Here is a 12,648-nt window from a genome sequence, read left to right on the forward strand (position 1 = left end):
GGCATATGCCACCATGCCGAGCTAATTTTTGTATTTTTTGTAGAGATGGGGTTTTGCCATGTTGCTCAGGCTGGTCTCAAACTCACAGGGTCAAGCAATCTGCCTGTGTCAGCCTCCCAAAGTGTTGGGATTACAGGCATGAGGCACCATGCCCAGTGGGATATTTTTGGAAAATATTGTCAATATATCTCATATTCAAATTTTCATCTTCCTACTTTAACTTAAGTTTGGCATGAAATGACTTTATTAATGTCAGTCTTTTCAAAGTAAACTGAAAGAACTATTCGAAAAATTACAGTTCTCAAGAAAGCTGAGGCCTCCTCCTTAGTGACATTATCTCAAGAAGAAAATTATTTGCTTCACACTTTTGGCGCAGGGATAATTCTATAGGAAAGAATTTGCAACAGTTTAATTACCCTTTTGTGATAATTTAAAAAGAAGACTACTTGAGATTTTAGCTGTGCCACAGAATGCCAAATATTTTAGTGTAGGTCTTGTTTTGTTACTATGTAAGAGATTTAAGATTAATGTTTTATCATACTTTACACTTACAAGGAACGGAATATCCTCGTGCTTCTCACTGACTGCAGGCATACACCCTATAAAATGTTGAGGCAGATATTCCCAGGGCTTCAATTTCTCATTGGAATTTAAAGCTTTCGAAAGTGTCATTAATTCTTTCTCAGTTGATTCCTGCAGGGAGGCTGATCTGTTCCAGGCCTTTCTCAGAAAGAAAGAAAATAATTAACTAATTAACAATAATTAGAAGTGATCTTGATTGTTAAGATTTAAAAAAATGTTAACGACCTCTGAAAATTAAAAAAAAAGGGCTTTGAGCTTAGAACATAGAGACCATAGAGGTCACAAAAGGAATTATTGCTAGCATACCCACAACTAAGGTCAATATTGATAAGAAGGATAAGAAGTTTGTGTCTTATCCAAGGACTCTCATAAACTCATGATTCCTCATCTTTAAAATGGGGATGATCATAGTATGTGCCTCACTTGATATGCGGACTAAGGCACCTTAGGTATGGGATATAAGGAATCGTGTATGAGGACAAAGCACCTGTAACAGTGCCTGGCACATAGTAAGCAACATGTAAGTATTGCCTACTATTATTGTAAAATAATATGTTTAGCATTCTAAGAATTTTGTTTTATTTCCTATCAAGTTTTTATATTTATGTGCAGGTACTTAAAGTGTCTTTTGAACAATATGCTGAGTTAGGTTTGCACTTCTAAGCGTTTATATTTTGGTTACATTTTGCATAAAATAAATTGTTTATTCTGAGATAGACTATAAGTGGTTGAGTAGTTTGTGAGAGATATTATTGCATTGTTTTTGTTATTCAGTCATATTAGAACCTAAAAATATCTGTATGGTACATGGAGTTAGATGTCTGTCCTCTTTTTACAGATCTCTAGGGACAAGATCCCATCCCACTCTTCTTTTTCAGGATAATCAAAAACCTTATGGTATTCAAGAAGTTCCACAATAGTTTAAATGTGAATATTCAGTTCTATGTCCTTCCAAATCCTTACTCCTACTCATTTTATTGCATTTATAATGAGTTTTAAATGCAATTTCTTCCCTGTTATATGCATATGTTTGAAGGAAATAAAGTTTAAAAATACCATTACAGTGAAATGTTTTACAAAATCAAAAAGATTCCTAATCCCAGCCAATTAACCACTTAGGTTAGGTAATATTGAAGTTGACCCACCTCATTACAGCAAAAATAATTTTCTACTTTATGGGAATTCATTGTAATAGGATGTTTGATAGATAAATAGACTTTCATTCTATTTGTAAAAATTAATTTTAGAAGTTTAAAAATAAGCACTTAAACCAATGTACATGTCTATTAGAGGCATAGCGTAGAAAATGAATACCCCTTTTCTTTCTCTCATTTAGAAAATAGCACTGCTTAACTTCCAACAATATATTAAATAGATTATGACATTTTGTTTCATCTGCACTTAATGAATTACATGAAGATTTAATCACAAAAAAGAGTATTTTGCCCATTTCTTCTTATTCACAAGTTTTATTATGGAAAAAATATAACTATTCTTTACGCTCAAGATTATTTAGTTCATCACTGGAACATTTGGAATTTTTAAAATAAGCAAATGAGAGGTTGCAATGAGCTGAAATCACATCACTGCATTCCAGCCTGGGCGGCCAGGGGAGACCCTGTCTCCAAAAAAAAAAAAGAAAAGCAAACAAAATGTTTCATATATTCTTCTAGCAGTATCAAAGAAAAGAAATTGCCAAGATCCTTTTAAATTCTGAATAAATATGGCTTTCTGACCATGCCAATTAATAGCGCCATGAGCGCATCAACCAAACCCATAAATGGGCTTACATAATACATAATAATAATTCAATCATATTATAGAATTGATCATAAGATTTGCAGAAAAATTAAATGGACCAACACATTTATCATGTTCTGGTACGTTAATCTGAATGTGCTTATGAATATTCAGATACAAACATATAAATGAGTATAGGAATGCATACTTACATAAAACATGTACACCAACACATCAAAATTGACAAAGCAGTCTATGCAAATTTTCTTAGTCGGTCTTTAATCCACAGGAAATGAAACTATTATTACTTTAAGAAGAGATAATCCATTGCATTGGTATGAGGGAGAGGGAGGGTATGGGGTAGAAGAAAGAAGTGAATTCTTCCTCTCTTCTCAGAAAACACTGGAAAATTTCCTCCCACTCCCAAGTTTATAACTATTTAATTCAAAACTATAAGCAGGAAAATGGAATAGCTTGAGCCAAATTTTCTTCAATATTTGCCAATTAGAGATCAGAAGTTCATTCATTCATTCATTCATTCAGATACTGAGTATATATACTAGGTGCTGGGTTTACAGTGATAAACAAAAAGCATAGTACTTACCTTAAAGGAAATTGAAATCTTGTAGAGAACCACAGACAATAAACACACAGACACACACACACACACGCACACACACAAAAAGAACTATTATCTAATGTTTTAATTAAATAATTATAAAATGGCTAAGGAATTTGGTAAATTTGAGTTTACTAGTCCGTATTTCCCATACGTAAACTTGATGCGTGATCTTTAGATGGCCATTTTCATTCATTGTAGTCACAATTCTTAGAACATGACCATGTGCATCAGAATTTCTTGATTTTTGGATCAGCATTCAAAACTCACTGTTCCGTGTGATCTTTCTTTTAGAAAGACAAATTCTACTACTAAGCCCCAAGGTCTATCCATTATTGTCCAGACAAATAATACTTTTCCATTTTTGGTTTTATTTTTATTTTAATTTTTTTATTTTACTTTAAGTTCTGGATACATGTGCAGAACGTGCAAGTTTGTTACATAGGTAAATGTGTGTCATGGTAGTTTGCTGCACCTATCAACCTGTCACCTAGGTATTAAGCACCACATGCATCAGCTATTTGTCCTGATGTTCTCCCTCCCCTCACCCACACCAACAGACCCTAGTGTGTGTTGTTCCCTTCACTGTGGCCATGTGTTCTCGTTGTTCAGCTCCCACTTATGAGTGAAAACGAGGTGTTTGGTTTTCTGTTCCTGTGTTAGTTTGCTGAGGATGATGACTTCCAGCTTCATCCATGTCCCTGCAAAGGACATGATCTCATTCCTTTTTTTGGCTGCATAGTATTCCATGGTATATATGTACCACATTTTCTTTATCCACTCAATCATTGATGGGCATTTGGGTTGATCTCATGTCTTTGGTATTGTGAATAGTGCTGCAATAAACATACGTGTGCATGTATTTTTATAATAGAATGATTTATATTCCCTTGGGTATACCCAGTAGTGGAATTGCTGGGTCAAATGGTATTTCTGGTTCTAGATCCTTGAGGAATTGCCACACTATCTTCCACAATGGTTGAACTAATTTCATTCCCACCAACAGTGTAAAAGCATTCCTATTTCTCCACAACCTCACCAGCATCTACTGTTTCTTAACTTTTTAATCATCACTATTCTGACTGGTGTGAGATGGTATCTCATTGCGGTTTTGATTTGCATTCCTCTAATGATCAGTGATGTTGAGCTTTTATTCATATGTTTGTTGTCTGCATAAATATCTTCTTTTGAGAAGTGTCTGTTCATATCCTTTGCCCCATTTTTGATGGGGTTGTTTGTTTTTCACTTGTTCATTTAAGTTCCTTTTAAATGCTAGATATTAGACATATGTCAGATGGGTAGATTGCAGAAATTTTCTCCCATTCTGTAGGTGGCGTGTTCAGTCTGATGATAGGATTTGTGTGTGTGTGCTGTGCAGGAGCTCTTTAGTTTAATTGGATCCCATTTTTCAATTTTTGCTTTTGTTGCAGTTGCTTTTGGTGAATTCATCATAAAATTTTTGCCCATGCCTACAGACATATAATACTTTTCTAAAGATCATCTTGTTATTGTTTTCATCATGATCCCATACATTAATATATTTATCTCAGCCAGTCTAGAAGACAGAGTGAGATTTTGCACCATCTTTAAAAAAAATTATTTAAGAGTGAGGCTCCTTGGAGGACATTGACGTGTTACTGATCTAATCTCTATACTTTCAGTTATTTGAAGCTATGCATCACTGTCTTCTTTTTGTTTCTTGGACATAGGACAATTAACTTTTCATAGGAAATGTTCCTAGATCAATTAATAGTCTTCAAATAGTTTTCAAATCAAATAGTCCTCAAAGAATAATCTTTTCATTACATTTATTAGCTGTATTATCCTATTCCCACCCTCCTTTAATGGGAGATTATTATGGATTTTCATACTTATCTTTCTCTTTCATTCATAGGGAGTACGGGATTGAAAGTCAGGAGATCTGGTATCTAGATCTGGCTCTATTATTGAATAATGCATAAACACAGAAAAATCAGTAAACAACACCTTAGGCTTTTTTTTTTATTTATTCATCCATCCATCCATCCATCCATTAATTCAGCCAATATATATTAAGCACTTACTACTTTGTATTATACACTCTTCTAATCATTGCAGCTAGAGTGGTGAATATAAACAGACATAAAGCTTATATTCATGGGAGAAGAGAGACAATAAATAAAATAAAGGAGTCAGTATAGAGTAAGTTAGATGTTAGTGAGTGCTATGAAAAAAAATAAAATGGTGAGAATAGCGAGTATCAGAGAGAGAGAGAGAAGTATGTACAGTGTTTTGTTAGTGATGCCTGTACAAGATCACTTGATCATGATCAGTGATTTTAGTATTTGATTAGTGTTTGTGACAACTTTAAAAGTCTATGCTTTACTGTTTCCTGCCTCAATCAGAAAATAACATGAAAATAGCAAAAGCTTAAGGAAGACTCACTAATATTTCAAACCCCAAAATTATATAACCAAAATGCCTGCACCTTATTTCTAGATGTGTTCTTTGTTGCTTGTGTAAAAGGCAGGCAATAATAAACACCTATTATGCTTGTTTTTGCTAATTTATGGCTACCTCTTTTAAGCAGCAGAATACAATCTGGTAATATTCTAAGGATGTGTTCTTCTTCAATTTACTGCTGAGTTTAGCCACATGTCTTTTTTTATTTTATTATTATTATACTTTAAGTTTTAGGGTACATGTGCACAACATGCAGGTTAGTTACATATGTATACATGTGCCATGTTGTTGTGCTGCACCCATTAACTCATCATTTAGCATTAGGTATATCTCCTAATGCTATCCCTCCCCCCTCCCCCCACCCCACAACAGTCCCTGGTGTGTGATATTCTCCTTCCTGTGTCCATGTGTTCTCGTTGTTCAATTCCCACCTATGAGTGAGAACATGCAGTGTTTGGTTTTCTGTCCTTGCAATACTTTGCTCAGAATGATGGTTTCCAGTTTCATCCATGTCCCTACGAAGGACATGAACTCATCATTTTTTATGGCTGCATAGTATTCCATGGTGTATATGTGCCACATTTTCTTAATCCAGTCTATCATTGTTGGACATTTAGGTTGGTTCCAAGTCTTTGCTATTGTGAATAGTGCCACAATAAACAAACGTGTGCATGTGTCTTTATAGCAGCATGATTTATAGTCCTTTGGGTATATACCCAGTAATGGGATGGCTGGGTCAAATGGTATTTCTAGTTCTGGATCCCTGAGGAATCGCCACACTGACTTCCACAATGGTTGAACTAGTTTACAGTCCCACCAACAGTGTAAAAGTGTTCCTATTTCTCCACATCCTCTCCAGCACCTGTTGTTTCCTGACTTTTTAATGATTGCCATTCTAACTGGTGTGAAATGGTATCTCATTGTGGTTTTGATTTGCATTTCTCTGATGGCCAGTGATGATGAGCATTTTTTCATGTGTCTTTTGGCTGCATAAATGTCTTCTTTTGTGAAGTGTCTGTTCATATCCTTTGCCCACTTTTTGATGGGGTTGTTTGTTTTTTTCTTGTAAATTTGTAGATTCTGGATATTAGCCCTTTGTCAGATGAGCAGGTTGCAAAAATTTTCTCCCATTCTGTAGGTTGCCTGTTCACTCTGATGGTAGTTTCTTTTGCTGTGCAGAAGCTCTTTAGTTTAATTAGATCCCATTTGTCAATTTTGGCTTTTGTTGCCATTGCTTTTGGTGTTTTAGACATGAAGTCCTTGCCCATGCCTATGTCCTGAATGGTATTACCTAGGTTTTCTTCTAGGGTTTCTATGGTTTTAGGTCTAACATTTAAGTCTTTAATCTATCTTGAATTAATTTTTGTATAAGGTGTAAGGAAGGGATCCAGTTTCAGCTTTCTACATATGGCTAGCCAGTTTTCCCAGCACCATTTATTAAATAAGGAATCCTTTCCCCATTTCTTGTTTTTGTCAGGTTTATCAAAGATCAGATAGTTGTAAATATGTGGCATTATTTCTGAGGGCTCTGTTCTGTTCCATTGGTCTATATCTCTGTTTTGGTACCAGTACCATGCTGTTTTGGTGACTGTAGCCTTGTAGTATAGTTTGAAGTCATGTAGCGTGAGTTTAGCCACATTTCTTTGAAATGTAAGAGGCTATCCTGGATCTACGTCAAACAGACCAACTCACCACAAATCAAAGATCTATGTTCCAGACTGGAAGGATTTTTCTCATATTTGTTGTGCTGACAGAGAGCTGTTGTTTCTCAGCTAAGAATACTGGGTGTTGGGATTGAAGGAACATAATACCTTAGAGCTAATGTTGTTGCTGTTGTTTTCCCTTGAGTTTTCTTCTTAAGATATATAGCATATATAGATATAGAGATAAACTTGGATACCTTCCTGCCAAGATCTTAGGATACTTATTTACAAAGAGAGAATTTTCGGGAATGGCCTAAGTAGCTGCAAACATCTGAGAGATGCAATGAATGCTAGAGGTGTGATTTGCTAATTATTGCCACTTTTGAAATTCTAATTCACATAAAGATTAAGTGTTGGGTATAGGAAAACCGCAGAAAACTTCTTGGATTTGTAGAAGTGTCTGTAAAGTCTGATTCAAACAACTCAGGACAAATAAAAACTAAAAATAAATTTGCAGAAGCTCAGGATTGGGTATTTTACATGTATAATCTCTGTAGCACATAACCTGGCAGTGTGAATTCCGTTTTGGACAGGTAAGGCTGTTAAATGCAGCAGAGGTCGCTGAAAGGATCTGCATTTGACACTTTGGAGATGGATATGCATGGATTCTGATCCTAATTCCTGTTACTTAATGTCTATATTACTTTAATCAGTTCTTAAACTTATCTGAACCTCACCTTCTAAAACATCTATAAACTGCAGAGGAGGCAAACTGCATTTAGTTATGAATAGCAGGCACCACATGCTCCACACCACAGGGCCATCTAATAAATTTCTCAGATATAAATACAATTGTTTTCTTTCATTTGGCTCCTTGTGATGTCAAAGGGCTCCCATTCAGACAACAGATCTCTCTTCTCTTTGTCTTCCTAAGACCTGATCTTCTTGACTCAGTACCTTCTGTGCCTCACTTTCCACTACCCAGTGATCACGTACAAGGGCAAAAGCTACTGTTATCTGAGGATAGAATGCCCCCGTCACCTCACTGAGGATAAGTCTTTAGTTAGTTGTATCTGGTCATGCAGATGCATATTCCAAGAAAATGTGACTCTCATCTAATAACAGCATAAATTAAATTGTTAAGGAGAATGTCCACTGTCGTGAGAAATACTCCTTGGATAAATGTGAGATATCCCTAAAATAATTCATGCTGGTAAGGTTAGTTTCATTGAAATTGGCTCCAAACATCTGTTTTTGCAAATCTGCAGCTGGAAAAAGGTTGTGATGCAGTAATTTGTCTTGAAAGAAGACATTCTTATTAATGCATAAGCCAAAGTTAGTTGACTTCCTTTAGCTTACTTTCATTATCACCTTATTTCCTGGCCATAGCTTCTTGCATCTTATAAGCCTTTAGTCAAGCAACATTTTTTTAAAATAGTATCCTGTTCTGGTAAGACCAATATGTTGTCACCTGAAATCTATTTGGTAATATTTTTGTCTCTCTATATCTTGAATTTTGATGCCTGTAGAGACATTCTTTCTGCCAAGTTGTGGATTTCTTTACTCCAATCTACCTGTATTTGTCCTGAGGTAAATTCTTGTGAATACCATTTAATATAGGGTTTTCTAATTATTAAGAGTTCAGTTTCACTGATTGGTCAACACTGTGTCTTGAATTTCTAACCTATGCCACAGTGTATATAAACTAAACATCCATGGGCACAGAAGTGGCCTTCAGATTTTACTTCCTGGCCTTAAAGTAATTAAAGGAAAAATTCCTTGTTGTGCAATCAGGGTTAAATAGGGTTAGTGTCTATAAAGGAGCACATTGTTCCATAAGTGTTCTCACTTGGGAAGTTGGCAACAAGTATTTAATCAAGCTAAAGAAAAGTTTGCCAAGGCAGACAGTGGGTGACTGAAATAACCTTAGTCAGACTGGAATGAAGTCTGTTCTCATAAATGGAGTACCTGGCTGTAGCCAAGAACAGTATATATGAAAAAGAATAATTCCTGGGATTTGAGGACTGAACGATCAGCAATTAGGGAACAGGCAATGTCTGACTGGGAAACAAGAGTAAAATTAATTTTGTAGTTATTACCTACACCAGATGTTCTGGCGTGCATGTGGTAAAATAGAGGTCTTCGGAAATCACAAATTTTGGTAAGAACATTTGCTTACTTCATGTGGTTTCAAACAAGTATAAATATAAATCTTGCTGTAGATTAGTAGTATTAGTATTAACATTGCCCTGTTAATCTCATTGAGCCTATAAGAATGATTTGGACAGCTCTATATTCCTCAGATAATTAGGAAGACAATTACTAGTTTATACTCAGAGTCTTAGAACTAGAAGAGACCTTAAAATTCAAAGCGCTCTGTTCCTTCATTTTGCAGATCTGGAAACCAAGGCTTAGTGAGGTGAATTGATTGTTCTAATGACACAGAGCTAAGTATTATGAAAGCCAGGAGTGGAGTCCATATCCAGGGTTTGTCCACTGAACCAGACCACAGTCCTTTACAATCAAGAGAACCCTAGGCACTTAGGGCTTCTCAAGAATACCTGGCCTTGGTTATGCCAAGAACTTATTAATCTGATAAATTCACAGTGTTTGGGGTATTAATGTCAGAAAATCATGTAATTATTGATTTTCCCTAGGATGTATGTATTTTAGCATGCTTTAAACATTCATGCTTTAATGTCTAAAGTGTTCAGTTGCATGTAATAATTTTTAAAGTGTGGATGTTAGCAGAAGGCTGCATAACTTAACGGGATTTGACTGATGTTTCAGGCCAGAAGTAGGTTGCCTACACAAAGAGAAATTTCAAACAGGGCTCATAGTCTTTAAATTTAGTTAAGTGAAAACCCATTATGTTTTCTCTGCAATGTTAAAAATGTTATGTTAGTTATCACATAAAAATACTACTTAACCATAATATGTTATTGCAGGTCATAGTAAAGACAACACATTATCTTAGCACTGAATAAAAAGCTTTCTCATTCTACACAAATCTACCTTATATGTCTAAATCCTTGACTCCTAAAACATTAGGAAACATCTCCTGTTAATTAAGTAGCTAATTACTGAATAAAGTATTTTGATAAAGTTATTTCCATAAGGTTAAACAGCCCAGAGCGCACACACACACATATATATGTACACTTAGGTGCCCCAGGTACGAGTGACACAGAACCATAACACATGATTCCTAACCTTGATGTTTCCAGAAAAAAAAATAAAAAGCAATGCAGAGTAGTCTAGATCAAGTGACAAAGCTATAATAAGTGCCATATGAAGTAAGAGAAGGGAGAGATGACTAAGAATTAGTCATCAGAGAGAGGCTTTATTGAGACATTATCAAACTCAAATGACATTTTCTTGAAGTTCAAAGTTACCACTAGTGAATTTCAAGGGATGGAAAACTTTTAACTTTATGTTCAATATGTTCTCTTAAGATAATATTCTGTAGAGAAACAATTTCTGCCACAACCCACTAAAACCAAATGCTGCTCAAAATTATAAAATAACAGTAAGATAAATCTCAGCATTGTGAACCCTTTGGCATTTGTTATCATTACTTGTTTCACCCCTTGTGAGTTACAAAGAGTTAGCATGAACCATAAGTCCAAAGGTCACTCGAAATCCCTCCTCTCTGGAAAAAAAAAAGAATTACTTTAATTACAAAAAAAAGGTATTTTTAGGGATATTTCAAAAATTTTAGTACATATGCATTCTTACCACAATGGGCAGAAAAATAAGCCTTTTTCAATATCTTAAATATATACTATAAATAATTCATTAACTAAAAAGGAATAACCAGTAGTATAGACTTGAATTCAGCAGTAGATGTATTCATTCAAGAAGTTAGTACTAAGTAAGACACTTACTTTGAATTACAGAATTTTCTAGGTTCTAGAAAATAAAAGTGAATAAGTCCACGTCAGTGTTTTCAAGGAATCATATAATTATAATTTGTCTATTTGTATACAAATCATATAATTTGTCTTATTTGTATGTTTATATATATGTACATATTCCACTATGATAATATTTGATAAATGCTAAACTAGAGGTATACACAAACTTCTAAGAGGAATATATCAGTTCAGAAGTCTGATTCATTAATTTGTTCATTTATTAATTTAACTGATATTCATTTAGGGCCCACTATGTGTGAGGCACTGTTCTAGATGTTTCCCAAAAAAGGTGACTTTTGAGTAGGGTCTTAAAATGTAACTGGGTTTTTGAGAGGCAGAAAAGAGGAGATAAGGCTTGATTTTATAGACAGTGGGAATGACATAGGAATTAATGAAAATGTAAGAGTGTGATGTCATCAGGGAACCTAGCCCTTTGAGTCAATGTCAGAGGAAGCTGGAAAAGGTGGGTAGATGTTAAATTATAATATGCTTTGAATTTCAACTGAAATTAAAGTAAATTTGGAGATTATTGTTTGGACCATAGAACACCATATTTTTCCTGTTAAAACTTTTTGAAGCTATAACAGAAATAATATGATTTCTATTTTAGAAAAATACATTTTGTGGGAATACTGGATTCAAGTAGAGGAAGACTGAAGGCATTTATCTTTTACCCACATCCATCTTTTATACATTTTCTCAAGCCTTCTCAAATCATCATCCTATCTGAAGGACATTTATGCCCCGGAAGTAACTCGTGGCATCAGACTGACCTTGGCCACACTTCAGATTGATGGAGAATGTAAGCATTAGCATTTAATTCATTGGCACTTCTTTGGCTAGCCATATATATTTTTTCTTGGCTGTCCTTATTTTTCTCATATATTATGCCAAAGAGCATCTCAGACATCAGTAGCTGGTAATAAGCTGAAATAGCTCCATGTGTCACTGCAACATTTACGTAAAAATAGATATTACTAGCAGAATCTTTACAGTGTGGTCCTCGCCTTTGCAATAAAGACAAAGACCAATCTGGCTTAGAAATCAACTCACAGTATTGGTGATCATATAATATATACTGACTTATCCCATAGGAACAAGTTTCTTTAGCAATTTATTTAGCTGTCTTCTCACAGAAGCAACTCACATTTCACAATAAGATATGACTCAATAGTCTCTCTGCGCATGCGTGTCAGCCAATAATGCTTAGTCAGAAGAACTCAAGACAGTCTATGAAGCAGTAGGGAATATAAGGCAGCAGTGAAAGAACTTAGAGAGCCCATTAATAGGAAATGGAGAGCATTTGGCCGTCTTTATTGGGAGTGGGGAGAAGCAGACCTGTATATTCACATAGCTACCAAGGCCTAATTCAGGATTTTTTTCCTCAAATGTTATTTCTGATGTTAATATTTTTCCTCTGGCTTTTCTATGTTGCTTAAGCATACAGTATTAACCCGTAAGCATTTAAAAATACTTGTCTAGATCACATGGAAGAGGTTCCACTCAGAATTGTACATGTTCTCCCAAGGTTCATCCATCATCAGTGTATCCAAGAAAATGTAAGCACTAATTTACCTGGAATCTAAGGATAGAAAGAAATGCAACATCATTCATTAGTTGCTATAGATAGATGTGGTATCCTGATGTGGTAAAATAAACTCCAATCAGGAGTAATTTTCGTGCATGACTCTGACTATTGGGGATG

General features: G+C 35.0%; 1 protein-coding gene and 1 long non-coding RNA gene across 4 annotated transcripts in view; one reads left to right on the forward strand and one right to left on the reverse strand.

The window, feature by feature from the left end:
* HTR2C (5-hydroxytryptamine receptor 2C) overlaps positions 1 to 12,648 on the forward strand; it is a 325,976-nt gene that overhangs the window by 204,705 nt on the left and 108,623 nt on the right. The window lies entirely within an intron of this gene.
* LOC105373313 (uncharacterized) overlaps positions 1 to 12,648 on the reverse strand; it is a 96,198-nt gene that overhangs the window by 71,297 nt on the left and 12,253 nt on the right. Inside the window, exon 3 of the long non-coding RNA XR_001755943.2 lies at positions 553 to 720. This is a non-coding gene — a long non-coding RNA (uncharacterized LOC105373313). The remainder of the gene's footprint in view (positions 1 to 552; positions 721 to 12,648) is intronic.

Source organism: Homo sapiens, chromosome X (genome assembly GCF_000001405.40).
Source record: "Homo sapiens chromosome X, GRCh38.p14 Primary Assembly".
Lineage (NCBI taxonomy): Eukaryota > Metazoa > Chordata > Mammalia > Primates > Hominidae > Homo > Homo sapiens.